General features: G+C 41.2%; 1 long non-coding RNA gene and 1 pseudogene across 2 annotated transcripts in view; one reads left to right on the top strand and one right to left on the bottom strand.

Annotated features, from left to right (window-relative positions):
* Window positions 1-17643, top strand: part of WARS2-AS1 (WARS2 antisense RNA 1) — a 135578-nt gene that overhangs the window by 77839 nt on the left and 40096 nt on the right. Inside the window, exon 5 of one of the 2 annotated variants that reach the window (NR_125976.1) lies at window positions 15224-15944. The exons of the other annotated variant lie outside the window; for it this stretch is intronic. This is a non-coding gene — a long non-coding RNA (WARS2 antisense RNA 1). Of the gene's footprint in view, window positions 1-15223; window positions 15945-17643 lie in introns of those variants that run through there. 2 annotated transcript variants of the gene reach the window in all.
* RPL6P2 (ribosomal protein L6 pseudogene 2) lies at window positions 1059-1883 on the bottom strand (annotated as a pseudogene).

Consider the following 17643-nt stretch of genomic DNA (forward strand, 5'->3'; position numbering starts at 1 on the left):
ACTTCTCCAGCTGCTCCTGGGGATGCTGGTGTCTCTCTGATGGGGTCACTGAAGACACTATTCCACATTCTTTCTTGGGGGCTGTGCTGCCACTCTGGCCTCTCACAAATGGTGGTCTTAAGATGTTGGTTTCCCATTCTTCCAGCCAGCACATGCACAATCAGCTAGCCAGTCTCAATTCCAGTCTCTTCTCCACCAGCTCTTCCCCCTCCTCCTGGATTTCATTGTCAGGGTCATAGGTGGCCAAAATTAACTGTGCATTTTGAAGAGGGAAGTCCTAGGTGACACCCAAAATCATCTTTGTGATTAAAAAAATGGGTTCTGTTTTTGCTATGAAAAATAGATGTGGGGTCACAAATGTGACCCTTTTCTCTCTTACATTCCTAATATTTTTCTCCATTTTCTGTTTTTTCTTTCCCATTTCTCCCATCAAAGCTTGTTTTATTTAATTTTTATTTAAAAAACTTTTTATTGTTAAATATATTGTAAGTACCAAAAAACCATGAAAAGAGAATGTGCAAGTTAAAATAATGGTTTTAAAGGTATAACTCTTGTAAACACTACCCATGATAAGAGAACTTTTCCAGCCACCTCAGAAGCCCTCTACATGCCCATCTCTCAAACATCTCCCCTCTTCCAGCAAAAGTAACCATTGTCCTAACTTTTATTGCAACCACTTCTCACTTTTTAAAAATAGTCTTATCACCTAAGTGTATATTCCTAAACACCTGTTTAGCTTTACCTGTTTTTTATAAATATCTTTTAAGTGCCTTTTAATCCATAGGCTTCCCCTTCATCTCCTTATTTTTCCTTACAATTAATTCATTGAAAGAAATGCAACACTTAATCTAAAGAGGTTCCTACAGTTTAGAATTAGCGGGTTGCTTCCCCACAGTAAAGTTTACTCTGTGTTTCTGATTGTGTCTAAGTGACCAATCCAGGTCCTCCTCCTCCTTCTTCTTTCTTCTTTCTTCTTGTTTTAAAGCATAGGACCTCACTATTAGGTGCTCTTCCTTAGAGGTTACGTATGTCTCAATGTCTCTCTTTTTGTGATGTTAGTAGTCATTGATGTTTAATAGCTTTGATTTTTGCAAAATTTGTGAGTCCGCAGCTTTCTGATCAATCTTGCACTGCTCTGTAATCTCGTATTTCTCTTTTTCTGTGTCAAGGATCTCACCTTCCTGATGTCTGGGCTTCTGCAGCTTCTTCTTTGTGAAGTAAGCATCAGTAAGATGTTTTGGGGTTTTTACATTGCTGATATCAATTCTGGTTGAGGTGCAATGACAAATTTCTGGTGTGTTCTTTGTAGAGGAACTCGATTGAGGACCAGAGGTCCAGTCACAAGTACCAACCAAGCCGCTAGCCAGCTGCTTCAGGAAAACCACCCTCTTGCTCCTGTGGTGTCCAATGAGGATGATCAGAATGGTCCTGGGGGTGATGCTGGCTCGCAGTTTTCTCACGTGCCAACTGAAGGGTATTTTGCCATGGCTCAACAGCTTTTGAGGCACGTCTTCAGTAGGATAATATCTAGGCATTTTGTGAAGTTTAATCACCCAGATACCACCATTCTTGTCACCACTAACTGGTTTTGTAACAGTTGCAAGAAGCTTCTTTTTCTTTTCAACCTTGGATTTAGTGGCTGAGTACTTCCTCTTGTACGTGGCCTTTCTAGAATACATAGCAGATCAGGAATATGTGCCAATTCTTCTGACAAGGGCAGGATTTCAGCTGCAACGGGGCTTCCCCTTCTTGGGCTTTTTAGCCCTGAGGTTACCCCTTTCCACTTTGCCACCAGCATTAGCCTTTTTGGCTTCGGGCTTCTTCTCTTTGGTATGCAGCTTCTCAACTTTTTCACCCATCATCTTGCAGGATGGGAAAGAGAACTCGAATTTGTTGAAATTTAAGTACCCATGTGGTTTTTGTTTCTTCGGTGGCACACTTTGCATAGTAAAAACAAAAGGAAACCTTAAAAATTTTAAACTTTTATTTACCAATTTTCCAAAAACTAGTTGGTTCCCTAGCATCTTCTGAAGATAATCAATTTAGGTTTTTTGGCAGGGGGTGGAAGTGGGGATGGGGGCAATTTTATTTTATTGTGGTAAGAACACAACATGAGATCTACCCTCAGGAAACTTTTAAGTGTACAAGACCTTATTGTTGCCTGTATGTTCTATATTGTAATGCAGATATCTAGAGCTTATCATCCTGCTTAACTGAAACTTTATGCCTGTTTATTGATAACTCCCCATTTCTCACTTCTCCCAGTTCCTGGCTACCACCATTCTATCCTTTGCTTCTATCAATTTGACTATTTTAGATACCTCATATAAGTAGAATCATGCAGTATTTTTCTTTCTATGACTGGCTTATTTCACTTAATGAAATATCCTCAAGGTTGATATCTTGTTTCATATTGCAGAATTTCCTTCTTTTTAAAGGCTGAATAGTATTCTATTGTATGTATATATCACATTTTCTTTATCCATTCATAGTTTGATGGATATCAAGGCTATTTCCACATCTTGGCTATTGTGAATAGTGTCTCAATGAACAGGAGAGTGCTAATATATCTTCAGGATCCTAATTTTGATTATTTTGGATAAATACCCAGAAGTGGGATTGCTGAATAATATGGTATGTGATTTAGTTCAGCTTTTAATTTTTTGAGGAAACTCCATGCTGGTTTTCATAGTAGCTGTAGCAAATTGATTCCCATCATCAGTGTGGCAAAACTGAAAATCTTGCACTCTGTTGGTTAGAATCAATTTGGTTTTTTAGAGCTGATTTTAAAGTAGTTAAATAGGCAACTACTCATGTTGCACTTTGACATTCCTTCCTCTCTCACACACATCACAGGGAGAGAGAGGATTCAAGGAGAAGAAACCCACAGCCTCTGAGTCAGGGGAGAAGTTAGGCCAGCAAAAATGTTGGGACCCAAGGAGGAGCTCAGTAAGCAAGCAAGCAAGCCTCAGAATTGCTCAGGGTGACCTCTCCTCTTCAAGTCAAATACCTTTGTGTCTAAAGAGGATTATGTTGGCCATGCTCCCTTATAGTCAACACATGGGAAGGTATTAAAAAGAGGCCTCTCTGGAGACACTTTGGTTTCCTTTCATAGTCAGCATTGGATCCCTTCATGAGATGGAGCAATATCTTCCATTAATTCACGTTCCTATGTTCACCCTCCTCCCCCACACCCTACAGGGAATGTCTGCAAACATCAAATGCTTCTCAAGTCACCTCCAATGCTGATTGGTGTCTCTCCTATTTTTTTCCTTTAGTAATAGCTAGGGACTGTGGTTTGGGGCTGCTTTGGAGTATGAGTTGGGGGGTGAGATGAAGAGGCAAGTAGTCTAGCAAAACTTTTCAAGTTGAGATTAGAGTTTCCAGCAGGGTCCTAATTGTCCTTTGAACAAGTCTAAAGTCTTCTTCTTATAATTTTTTAATTGATGTATAATTCACATGCCTACAATTTACTGTTAGGAAGTGTGCAATTCGGTGGCTTTTAATATATTCAAAAGGTTGTGCAGCTATTATCACTGTGTAATTCTAGAATATATTCATTGCTCCTGAAAGAAACCCTGACACATTAGCAGGCAGTCTGCATCCTCCCTCCTCACTCCACCCAACCCCTGACACCCTCTAATAATCCACTTTCTGTCTCTATGTGTTTTCCTATTCTGGGATTTTCACTTAAATGGAATTACATAATAAGTGGACTTCATATCTGGCTTGTTTTACTTATCATAATGTTTTCAAGGTGCATCCATGTTGTAGAATGTATCAATACTTCGTTCCTTTTATGGCTGAATAATATTCCATAATATGGATGTAGAACTTTTTATTCATTTACTCATCAGTTGATAAAAATTTGGGTTATCTCTACCTTTCGGTTATTATGAATAATGTTTCTATGAACATTTCTGTATATGGTTTTGTGTGAATACATGTTTTTAATTTTCTTGGATATATAGCATTACTAGGTCATACAATTCTGTTTAACTTTTGGAAAAACTGGCAAGCTGTTTTCCAAAAAAAGCTGCATAATTTTATACTCCAAGTAGCGTTGCAGAAGGGTTTCAGTTTCTCCATGTCCTCACCAATACCTCTTACTTTCTGTCTTTTTAAATCTTAGCCATTGTACCTGTGTGAGCGGTATCACACTGTGGTTTTGATTTGCATGTCTTTTGTGACTAATGATGTTGAGCATTTTTTCATGTGCTTCTTGACCACTTACGTATCTTCTTTGGAGAATCTTTTTTAAAAAAGTACTATACATTTCCCTAGAGAGATTTGTTTGTTGTTACTAATTCTCTCTAGGTTCTTCTTTTGCCTTGGAATATCGGGGAAAGTCCCAAGAGTGTTCTGCATCCTTGCTCCTTGATCTCATCTTTACGTGAAGAAGACTGTACAGCAGAAGCAGCAGCAGATTCAGGGTGGGGCTGAGGGTGGGGAAAGTGGGTGCTGTTCTTGTTTGTGTGATTTGAAAAAACTCCCTGAGTGAGGATAAAGACACCCAATCTGTTAGTGTCTCTTTCCTTGGGTTCTATGTTGAACACTTTGTCCTTTGATATCTATTAGAGGGTGAGATGGAAGTGGTGATCCCAGAAATCACTTTTCTTTGTCTTGGATGAAGGAGAGTACTCAGAGAAGTATTCTATGGAAAGGTTGCTGAGGCATTCATGACCAGGACTGGCTCCAGGCACCTCTTCCTTTGTTCACCTTCCTTTCCCCATAGTCTTCTTCCTGCCTTGTCACTGGGAGGCTTCTGAGTGGCTCTTGGGTATCCTCTTAGCAAGGGACAAAGTAAACTCCTTAGGCTTGAGCCTTAGGCCCTCACCATGTCCCTTAAGGCACCATAGGCAATGAAACAAGCTCAAATATTGGCCAGGAGCAGTGGCTCACACCTGTAATCCTAGCACTTTGGGAGACCAAGGCGGGCAGATCACCTGAGGTCAGGAGTTCGAGACCAACCTGGCCAACATGGGGAAACACCATCTCTACTAAGAATACAAAAATTTAGCCGGGCATGGCGGTGCTCACCTGTAATCCCAGCTACTCCGGAGGCTGAGGCAGGAGAATCACTTGAACCCGGAAGGCGGAGGTTGCAGTGAGCTGAGGTTGTACCATTGCACTCTAGCCTGGGCAACAAAAGCAAAACTCCATCAAGAAGCTCAAATATTATCTATGTGCTTAGCACTGTGCTGGATGTGGGGAAGGGGGTTCAGGAATAATGGATTTATTTTTTTCAAAAAAACATTTTCAAGCACTTGCCATATGCCAGATTCGGTGCTTCCCTGAAGCAGACCGATTTGGAGAAAAATAACTCCGGATCCAAGTCATCATTTGATGTATCCCATGTGGATAGCCCCCATATGAAGTAGAGCCCCAGAAGAGAAGAGGCAAATGCAGTGCGCAGTGATGCCCACATAGGTGCAGAGTCACAAGGGAGTGGCCAGTGATGCAGCTCCCAACATTGGCTGGAGAAGCTTGGACAGGGAGTCCCCAGCTCAAGGAGGGAGAAACATCATCACCATGACATACAGGTGGAAACCGTGGTTTTGTCTTGAGCTATTACATATTTTCCTGAACTTCTTATCTCATACATTCTAGGAGGCTATCTTATTCCACATGCTAAAATTATTTATGGAGGCAACAAGTAAATTTAATCCATCGTCATCTGCTAGGAGAGTATAACCATGTTAAATATAATCTTATTATGCTCCCTGCACCTTTTTGATTGCCACTTCCTTTTCTGTCAGTGTCAATTGTTTCTTCACTGCTGGTTTAAGTTTTCTACTCGATAAGCAAAGGTTTTGAATTCATCTCGATTAAAACAGTGAGGCCCCAACTCCATCCTACCAGCTTCCTCCAAAGTTCGTGTATACTCTATATTCAGATCAGCTGCCCAGGGCACAAAGAAAGATGAGCTATGAGCTATGACAACATGAGGACATCAGGCCAGATGCTTCAAGGCATTCAACTTCCTTCTGGAAATAAAATCACTAAAGAATTTTATCTCTCTGGAATGGTTTAAGTGTGCTTGAGGGAAAAAACAAAAAACAAAAACAAAGAACAGAAAATGAGCAGATATTGCTCAGGTCTCATCCAGCCATTTATATTAAGTTGCACTGTCCAAATTAGACTAGGAGCAATTTATTTAAGCTGGTGGCAAGCTTCCCAATGCTCAGGAATGCCCAGAAATCTGGATTCTTATAAGATGTCCCATTTAGTAAGTTGGAGAGTAGGTTCATTATGTAGAGAATGTCAAGAAAAGGAAGCATGGGCTACTATTAATATATACGATGGCATTTTCTCATATTTGTGCATCAACCACTCTATCTTCTGCCCTCTTACAAGACTGCCTTCTTCTCTTTCTCCTGTCTCTTTATTCTCTCTTTATTCTCCTTCTGTATGTATCTATCTCTGTTTCTGTGTGTACCTTTTTCTACTAAATCAGTATCTTCCCTCCTTTGCCTCTTCCTCTTCCACTTAATTTTTTCTCTCCCATTTTCAAATGAAAGACATGGCTCTGATACTAGTACATTTTAAACAAGCCACTTTACCTCTTTGGAAAATAGTTCTGCATCTGTAAAATAAAATAATTCTTAGATTTCCCTCTACTGCTAAAATTCTATGATTCTTTGAAATACCTCATTTGTTCAAATAATCCAAAGTTCTTCTCCAAAAATTTTCTCTAAAAACCTGTGCAAATCGACTATGTCATGATTGACAAGCAGAGTAATAGCTTAATCCCCTTTTCTTTATCTTTGGGGATTTCTTTACCTTGGATATTAGAAAGTCAAACACAATTTTTGACACTTCCTTTTTCCACACTCACAATTTCAGAAGCCTGAGAATATAGAGGTATGCTTCTGCAGCAGCAATTCAGATATTTTATCAGCATTGGAAGCTAAGGATCTGGGAAAGAGGAGGAAAAAGCCAGAAATCACAATTTTTAAAAAGAATTTTTTTGTGGTATTGAACTCCCAAAGATTATTATATGTAGCTCAGATTGCATGCCCTACTTTCTATTTTCATGTTCTATGTATTTTCATGTTCTTTCCCAGATAGAATATCTAAGAGAGCATCCCTTCCCCCTACAAAGAATGATTTTTATTTTCCATATGGTATATGCTAGCAATCCTGGCAGTTCACCACATTTATGTAAACATGCAGAGATACCTATAAATTACTGGACTTATCCCAGTTTAAGTTTCCAACTATGTACTGTAATATTTACAGCTGTTATTACTTTAGCCTCAGAAGTTATTTGGGCCCATTTATATGGCTGATTAGTCATTTAGACTGTAGGCTCCATTTATTACATTGTTTGGGGATGGGGAACTCACAGATACTCACTAGAGGAACCAAGAATCTATATATAAGCCAAGAGTTCTGCAACCTGGTGGAACTTTTCAAACCTGAGGACTCCAACTCCAAATACCAGCTGACCGTCAGTCACCTAGGGCTACCCTGCACTTTAAGATGACTTTGGGAGAACCTGGGCACTTCCCCAGAGTATTTACATTGGTAGTGAAAGGCCAAGAGAACTAACAGCCTCTCTTTTAGGAATCTGGACCTTATCCAAAAGATCTGAGACTGGTGGTGGGGTGGGGAGGAGACCCTAGTGGACCTTAATAATATTGCTGCAGGAATCTTGGCAGTAAAGACTAAACTGGGCTTTCTCAATTTCCCCCCACCCATCTCCACTGCAAGTCTCATTGCTTAGCCCAGGCTGAGCGCAGTTCCCTTGAAGGTCCAAAAGGCTGGAAATCCGGGTCTCTATTCTGATGCCAACTTCTAGGTCAACCTGCAGGGGGTGCCCTCAAACTGCAGCTGCCTCCCTGGGCTCTTTTACTACAGTACTTGGAAGGATTATTTTACTATTATTATCTATAATTAACCATGCAGTTTATTCACATAGCATCTTAAGCTTTAGACACCTTTTCTTCTCCCTAAGTGTCTTTTTATGTTTTTTGTTTAAGCCTCACAGTCACCAAATAAGGTAGCCTGTATAGAGAGGTGAAGTGACTTTACTGAGTTTAGGTGGGAATCAGTGGTAGAGACTGACCTAGAAGCCAAGCATCTTGATTTCTAGACCTGTGCTATTTCTACAAGAGTTCTTACAATGAAGATAATAACAAACAGAAAACACTTCTGCTATTCCTTTTATTTTCATTCTCCTCTTTTAAACTTTGACATGCTTTATTTATGTCAGTTCTCCTGAGATCAGTTTTCATGAAACCCTAGTACTTTACTGGCTGTCCTCCATGCTCAAACAATGTTGAGTAGAATCTCCAGTCTTGTTCTGATTTATTCAGCAGATGGAGTATTATTATCAATATTTCTTCAGCGTTTGAGGGGGCATTTTTGGATGATAAAGTTAGTTTCCATTTATCATCATTTTATCCCCAGTGCTGGCTTGGGAAGCTTTGATTTTTGTTGTATGAATGTGAACTATGAGATTGCATTCAACTTGTTCTGTTTTCCAAGCCAGAAGAATGGAGAACAGAGTGCAAACATATATGATGGGCTTTGGCAACTTAGTGGACATTTTCACTTAAAGGGAAAACCGGTATTCCATCAGATCGTTATCCTTACCTCTGTAGAGCTGGAGGCGGTCATAGAAAACATTTAGTAATTCCAGTTCAAGGCTTTTGTTTTCACTAATGCAGAAAATAAGATTCAGAGAAGTCAGGAGATTGTCTGAGATCATGCATCTACCTGGTAGCAGTGCTAGAACTAGACATCAGGTCATTTGTACCAGGTCTGAGGCATGAGGTCTGAGACACTGTCTGGGAAACCACAGGGCTTTGCACAGACTAGGGCTGGATACACTTGGAGAACACTCAGGGGACTTCCATGTGATTAATTCAGTTCAACTTAACAAACACTGAATGGGGCCACCACAGGGAAAACCTCGCAGGGCATTGCGTGGAGCCCCACCTTCCCCTAAAGGCTGACTGGGTATGGCCGGGCAACAGTGTTTTTTCCTCAGTTCTGCTCTGAGGGGCACAAGGATCAGGACTCCTGGGATGTTGCTATGTCTGCATTGGAAAAGCCTCTCTTAGGACCAAAGTCTTGATCTGGATGAATGAGGCTTAAGCTTTTCCTTTATTTCCTGTGGTAACTAAAAGAAAGGCCATGAAGAGGCTTTCCTACCAAATCACAGGAAGACGACAGACTAAGGAGAAGGAACACACTTTGACTGTGGAAGTCACAGAGTTCTTAAACCCAGTGAGAAGCCCTGTTGTTATTAAGAGTGGCCTTACCACAGCTGTGGCTTAGAAATGGGAAAGAAGGGAGGTGAGAGAGACCCACATGTGGGTGTGTGTGAGTGTGTGTTGATCTGCAGGCATGTGCTTTGGAGACTGAGCCCCACTGATACCAGGAAGGCAGGAATCCCTGCTGCCCAGCTGACAAGAGTGAGTCCCTGCGGGCCTCCTCCTTCCTCTCTCAGAGGCAGCGATCATGGTGGGGGAGGAGGCAAAATTGCTAAGAATAGCCACAGTCTTTGAGACTTGCTCTTTTCAAGGAATCAATAGAATTAGAAATGAGACATCAGCTCTAATCAGTCACATATGTTTGGGTTCTTAGCCCCTAGGAAAAGAATTTCTAGCTGTGGCTCCTCACCACAGCTAGTGGAGAAAATGCAACCTGGCAACGTGCAAAGCACATCTACACCTGTGGATTTGAGTGGGCCTCCTTCTGTCCTCTGGAAGGCTCAGGGACAAAAGCACCCCTTCTCACATGCTGTCAGTCTGACACCTGGTCTGATTGGAAGTGGTCAGACTTCTGAGTAAGCATCCCCTATGTGGCTTTTCAACAAGTGTGGAAAATTTCAATGCACACATAACCCCAGGCAGAGCCACGAATTGGAGGCTGGAGGAGATCCCCTTCGCTGAGGCCCCCGGTCCTTTGTCTTATTTGCTTATGTTTCTGAGACATGGAGGTGTTTGGGGAATTAGGTGCATAGTGAGAGGATGTTTTGGTTTTTGTTTTGTTTTACTTTTTATTCTATAAAAATGTAAACCTACCAATAAGTTGTGAGAATAGCCAAATGAGCCCCCATGTCCGCTTCATGTATGTTCACTATCGGTCAGCAGGTTTTCACTGCAAACATAGGTTTCTCAGTATGGTTTCCTGACCACCTACATCACCCTCAGACCTCTTATATAGGATCTCAGGGCCACCGGGGCTACTGTACTTTGAGCAATTCCTCAGGTAATGTTTGTGTGCTGATAACTGTGAACTACCCTTTTGAAAGCCTCACACTGAGTCAGGTGTCTGTGAACTTGCCCCTTAGTTCTTTGTGTTACCAACTCCACAAGCTCCAATGAGTCACCAGAATATTGTGCTAATTGATATCGTCTCTTTAGGTCCTGCCTTACTCTTCCAGAAAAATAAACAAAGAAAATCAGCTCCTTTCTTTTTCTAAAATAGCACTCTTCTACTCAGCAACTATGAATGGCCCTTATTCAAATTCCATAGACCTGCAATGAAAATAAAATATCATATTCAGATTTTTGCCAACTTTTAAATACTATAATTTATGATTCACCTTGAAAGCTGGTTTCCCTTGAAAGTTGTTTTTTATAGCCCTGGGCTCGTACTTAACTAGAAATGTCATCTGTGAATTATTTGTGTATAGGTAATGAGTGTGAATACATGCGCACACACAAAGCACTAGTAGAGCTTTTAAATGTCAAAATTTAAATATTCTAAAGGAGCAAAGAACAAAATCAAATTTGTGGAGAGATTCTAACTCCAAAGTCTAATCTACAGTTGTTTATATTTTGTGGTCTGTAGCATGTCATTTAAAAGGAAAGAGTTAAGGAAACAGGGGAGGGTGAGGTGGGAAAGGACAGGGATTGGTGTTAGGAGTGTACAGTATATGAGCTGTTGGCACATTAAAATTATAGTCAAGCAGCAAAGTCACAGCCAGATAAGAGATGGGAGCCCATCCTCATATGCACCTTCAGATACTCACTAAACATCTCTCATACACGTTTGATTCCTCACACCATACAGTACACTTTTCACCGAGCAGGTGCTCAGCAGTTGAATGTTCATATGAATGCCATTCCTCAGCTTCTTCTGAAGGTGCCACTGACACAATTTTAGGGCTTACAGAGGGCCGGCCTGAAGATCTGGGATTCTGCCCTAGGGACCCACATTTTGGTGTCCCCTGTGGCTTCCGCTGCTCACAACCACCATGTTGCACAACTTTAGGAACCACATTCACTTACATAGAAGACAGTGTGAATGGAGACCTCAGACTTGGCACCTGGCAGCTCTGACTGTGCCCTGGACACCTTCTGGGAGAACTGCTGTGGTCAATATGGGTGTGCCTCCCAGGGTTAGCGATTGGATTTGTGTGGTTCATATTTGCCCTCCTATTATTCATTCATTCACAAATGCTACTCTTCTAGTTTATGCTGCTTGTCCAGGGAATGGGCCCTCCTTCTCTCCCCTTTTATCCTTGACATGTCTAACCTTGTTCTATAAGTATAACAAACACCAAGAGTATCTGGGATGCTTAAAGTTGAAGACATCCCCTTTATTGGGGTTCTAATGGAAAGCCTTAGAGTTATGGCTCTTGTAGAAATGCAGAATAAGTATGAGATTTGGGGCACACACTTTTTCAATTATAGGCAGCTCAAACCCACTATTGCTCCCCATCCATCTCAATCTGAAGGTGGGTGGGGCAGCTGCTCCTAAACATCTTTGCACACTTAATCTCAAACCTCACTCATGCAGCTTCTAAATTTTTAAAAATTAAACCTAAGCCTTACAAAGTATACACTCTGATTTATATGAGTTTTGGCAAATAGGCACACCAAATAAAAACCTTCGTAGTTGGAAATGACAATGTCGGGGGAATAAGGGCTGGAGAATGATATCAGAGTACCTTTTTTTTTCTTTTTTAGAGACAGAGTCTCACTCTGTTGCCCAGGCTGGAGTGCAGTGGCGCGATCTCGGCTCACTGCGACCTCTGCATTCTGGGTTCAAGCAATTCTCCCGCCTCAGCCCCCTGAGTAGCTGGGACTACAGGCGCATGCCGCCACGCCTGGCTAATTTCTTTGGTATTTTAGTAGAGACGGTTTTTCACGGCGTTACCCAAGCTGGTCTCGAACTCCTGAGCTCAGGCAGTCAGCCTGCCTCGGCCTCCCAAAGTGCTAGGATTACAGGTGTAAGCCACTGTACCTGGCCGGTACCCTGTTTTGATGAGCCAGTGGCAGCTCCCGGAACTCAAGTTAAAAGACTCTAAACTTGGTGTTGTATGAAAGTTGGTATGTTCTCCCATCCTTAAATTTATTTTTGAGCCCTGCTTTCGATGAGGAAAGCTCTAGAAAGTCGAGTCTCAGAGGAAATGGTACCAAGCTAAGCAGAGATTCTGTTGTAGGAGCTGGAGGTATATAGTAGGGGGTGGAATTATTTCTGGCTCAGTTCATCTTCTGGAAAGTTACCGTATTGCCCAATGTCCGGGGCCCAAAGATGCCGGTGAATTCAGACTTGATTGAAGCCACTGCTATCCAAGAAGCTCTGACATAATGAATCAACATGGCAGCAATCAGTATAGGATAGTAACACATTTTTAGTCCTGGCACAAGTTTATTGTTCTGAGTTACTATGCCATTGTAAGCATTTCCCTGCAGTGAGTTAACCTTGGTCTTGACCTGAATCTTCAGCAAACTTAAGCTTGTCCCATAAAAGCACTGAAAGCTGAAGCCTTTTTACTGACAGTGCCCTCGTTCCTTGCCATGAGAGGGGGACTGACAGGAGCAGCCAGGCTGGCTAAGTCAGCTGGGGCTCAGAGCAGAGTGCCAGCTCAAAAGAGAAATATTTAATAAAAAATGGAGGCAGAAGCCCAGTTATACAAATTAGGCTGTCTGATGGAGACAGGGATAGCTCTGGCTTTTTATTTAAAAAAAAAATTATTTCCTAAGTACTCATTTTAAACCCTCCTCTGTTTTAATGGAAGGTGCTGCCCCTTTAACATATGTCCTTTAAAGTAAGAGTACCTCCTTCCCAGATACGTGCAGAGCCCAGCCCTACCCAGTTCTGAAGCCACTCTGACACAGACCAATGTTTTTTCAGGGGCTCAGGCCTTTATCTCACAGGTCTGCAACCTGTTCTGTTGCTACAGGCACCATATCTAGTGCTGTAGTAGACACTAGGAGACAAAGGCGAAAAGGCTTTCATTCCTGACACAGCCTGCATATTTGCTCTAATTTGAAGTGGTGTGAACACACTGCCAAGGAAGCCCAGAGGAGGGAAGGAATAAAGCTGCCTTGAAGGACAAAGAGGAAGTGTTTCCAGAGGAGGCAACGATTGAATGGGACGAAAGCTTCACAGGACTTCACTGAACCAGAGGATGGAGAAGGACACTCTTAGGATAGGAAAAGTTGAAAAATCCCAAAGAGGCATGTTACACTATGAAGCGTTTGGACAATGGGCTACACAAGGTTGAAATGGGAGGTTGGAATAAACTGTTGAAGAGCTTTTAGCAGCCATGGTAAAGTGTCTGGATTTTATCTCAATGCAGCAAGGGCAGGGGGTGAAGAATCACATAATAAAATAGGCAATCTGCTCCTGAAATAACCAATACAGAATTTAATTATTTTCTGGTGGGTGTGCAGAAAAGCGTAATGAATTTTAGAGTCAGAGGGCCTAGATTTGAATCCCGCATCAGTTAATTACAAACCATGTGATCTTGACCAATTTTTTAACAGTAAAAAGAGGCTAGTAAGTGTATCAGTCTCACAGGGTTGTAGGGAGAATGAAAAGAGAACAAAAAGAAAGTGAAAATCACCTATGGCCGGGCCCAGTTGCTCACACCTGTAATCCCAGAACTTTGGGAGGCCGAGGCAGGTGGATTACTTGAGGTCAGGAGTTCGAGACCAGCCTGGCCAACATGGAGAAACATTGGCTCTAGTAAAAATACAAAAAACAGCTGGGTGTTATGGTGCATGCCTGTAATCCCAGCTACTCGGGAGGCTGACGCAGGAGAATGGCTTGAACTCAGGAGGTGGAGGTTGCAGTGAGCCAAGATCACACTACTGCACTCCAGCCTGGGTAACAGAGTGAGGCTCCACCTCAAAAAAAAAAGAAAAGAAAAGAAAGAAAACACCTTTTATGCTGTACAGCATTAAGCAAATGTTAGTCACTCATATTGTTATTTGGTGCCAAAAAGAGAGATGTTGGGGTAGTATCTATTTGTTTAATATCCTTCCTCTTTGTTATAGAGAATTCTTGGTTTTTCAGCAGTCCAAATGTTAATGTGATACGTGCTTTCCACGTGTCATGAAAACCCTTATTAGATGTATTACTTCTAAATTTAGCATATAGCCTAGCATATACAAGAACTAAAGAAAACTAGCATTGTTTTTAGTACTTTCCGGTGCCAAACAGTTGGCAAACATCATCTTATTTAATCTTCACTATAACACTCTGAGGCTGTTATTGTTCCCATTCTACAGATTAAGAAATTAAAATGGAAAGTTAATTAACTTGTCCAGAAGAATTAGCAAGTGGTAAAACTTAGATTTGAATGCCATGTTTACATGGACTCTATCTAATACCTGAGCTTTGTTCCACCACACTGCACTAGAAAGAACACATAGTTGGTGCTCACAGTAAGCAGCCCACATCTTTTTTCCCTGGTAACTGCCCCAAATTCTTGCCCTTGATGAAAGGCGTCCTGAGATGGCCATGCTTATAAAACACGACTCCATGGCCACAGCAGACTGGACTGCTCCTGATCCAACCTGGGCTAATCACATTCCCCTTTCTGAAATTTGGGACACTCAGCATTGGAGCTAATCATCTGTGGTAATCAGGCTGAAAGGACTAGCAGAATTAGGACCTGAACCCACAGTATGGCAAGCCAAATTCAGATTCAGGCTGGAGAATGGGGAAGCAGAATCCATAAGTCAAGAGAAAACCACAATGTCCTGAGAGGAGGATGGAGCTGCACAAACAGGATCAAAGATGGGGAATCCTGTATTCCGAGATGGAGTGATGTGTGAAGGTTTGTCTCAGCTCCCTGTGGCCTTCCAGTTCCCCGCTCCAATTCACATGAGATCTTGATACCTTTACAACAGTCTCTATCTTTATTTAAACTAGCTGGCCCTACAATCAAAGAGCCTTGACTGAAACACCTCACAGTAAATACTTGCTGAATGATTGGCTGATGAGTATATCTTTTTTACTTCTCTAGGTGTCTGTCTTCATCCTAAGGAGTCAACTGCTATACCTTAGTGATTTCAATGTAATTGTTTGGTCTGTAAGTCATTCTTGCCACTGTGGTTCTGGGGCCATTGTTCTGCAACGATGAATAAACAATGTTTTAGAAATCACTCATCCAAGAAAGGTGACAAGATACTGGAATAGAGGTATTTGAAAAATATTCATGGGAATTTTAGAGGATTGTAGATGGTCTGAATACCTGTGAAGACATCATCTAATGTATCTAAAAACCACATAATGCTTCATCTCAATGTATTTTAAGAATTAATTTTGTTATAAGCTAGAATTTTTCATTTTGGTTTTAATAATAACATCAAAAGGATTTTTTAACATAAATTAGAAAGGGCATACATGGAGAAGTAAAGAAGAATTCTTCTTGGGATTAGCCAAAAATTAGTGAGAGATTACATATTTCCTTAGATGAAAAATCCTACAGGCAAACTTTTAATGTCAGGGAGAGGAATACTTTATTACCTAATAATGTAGATGAAAAGAATAGCTAAGCATTCTTTTTTAAAGCAGTATACAGAAATGAGGGAAAGGCTAAGAGGTTAACTCATTTCTATTTTGAACTCTATTTTTTTTAAAACCCTTGCTCCAAATTTTACTTACTATCTTTTAAATGTCATCCTGCTAGAGTGTAAGTCTTTAGTTTTAGTTGCTTAATAAAAATTAATTTTTTGTGACAAAAGGCATACCATTCAGAAAGTGTGCTATATTTTTTTCTGACTCAGTTACCCAGACCTAAGGGGATGCAGAGAGTGTGGATATCATGGCTGCCGCCCAGGCAGCAGCTTCCAAGGTCAGTGCCTGGGCAGAAAAGAAGCATCACCTTTGGAATATTAGTCATGTTGATATGTAACAATTAAACGATTGCAGGCATCACAGTGCCACTTTCCAATGCACCAAATTCATTTCCAATGTGAGCTTTTAGTATGTGGAACACCTGCCAGCTGTGGAGAAATGCAAAATGCACTGAATTAGGAGTCAGAGGGCTAGGCTGCCATCTGTCACTTTTACTTATGTGCTGTGTGGGCTTGGGCAAACCATTCAACTTTTGGGGCTCAATTTTCTCATTGGTAAAACAGTGATGGTAGGAGAGAGGTCCTTGGAAAGTCTTCACTTTCTAGGATTGTGGGATTGAATCTTCTCAAGAGGTTGTGGATACTTCCTAGAGCAAAACAAGCACTCCAAACATGCTGGCTCCTTCCTTCATTTCTTCCTGCAGTACTGAGCACTGACAAGGCTACAGTAAAGCTGGCTCTGCCAAACAAGAATAGCATGATCTGCGACGTCTGCCTGCTATACCCTGGCCCAGCCACTCAGTGTTCCTGCTGCTTGGTGGGTGGAAGAAGACATGAGCCGGTGATGCTACCTGAGCAGATGGAAACCTTGTCTCTTAAGACTTTAAGCACTTGGGGAGCAACTAACTCTTTTCCATATTTGGATTTCAAAATAAAATCCCTAAACTGGATAGCAATCTAATTTAAAACTAGAATGACCAAGTGGTTCCATTGATCAGAGTCTGAGAAATAGAAAAAGCAGCTCCACCAGAAATATTTAGAAAAGGAGGCTCTGAGCTGAGGGTGGGCCTAGTTTGGGAGGCATCAGCATGAGGAACTGGAAGTGGACAAGGACAAGGACAAGGATGCCTTAACATTTCTTCATCAATGGCCAACGGCTTTGTAAGAGAGGATTCCCCACTTGGGATCAATAAGCAGTTCTCAGCTGATATTCCTTAAAGCATATGAAAGTGTGGAAGCAATCATACTGTGGGGGAGTTTCCATGAGGCTCCAAGCATGCTTAAGTGAAAGAATGAAAGCTGCCTAGAGAGCTCAAGAGAGAGGAAGAGAAACAGCTGTGAGCATCTCTGGAAGAAAGAAATGTATAATATATGCACACGGGGTGGGAAAGAGAGCAAAGGAGTGGGGAAAACAGCAGGAAACAGCATATTTCCATTCATTTCACTTTTAAAAACATAATTGTTTAAAAAAATTCAGGGACTGGTTCATACTATATGAGAATTTGCTTTTTAAAAAATGAGCAAACAAATCAGGCTTTAACTTAAAAATTACAATAATGCCACCTTTACTATTCACTATCTCATCAATGTGGGCTTGACAGTACTTACTAGAATAACAAGGTTTAATATTTTAGTAGACAGTAGAATTTAATGCTACACACACTGAATTTAACTTGCACTTAGCTTGAAATTGGATGAAATTGGACAGACTGATTCAAAGATGGAAATCAGGTCTATACTGCTTCTTCTTTAGGGTAGATTAAAGGATTGTTGGTCTATAAAGCAATCAAGATGATAGGAATATGTGTTGAAAAACTAAATTAAAAGCAAGATGGAAAAGGGGGAGGTAGCTGCCACCTAGTATGCT

Source organism: Homo sapiens, chromosome 1 (assembly GCF_000001405.40).
Source record: "Homo sapiens chromosome 1, GRCh38.p14 Primary Assembly".
NCBI classification, from domain to species: Eukaryota; Metazoa; Chordata; class Mammalia; order Primates; family Hominidae; genus Homo; species Homo sapiens.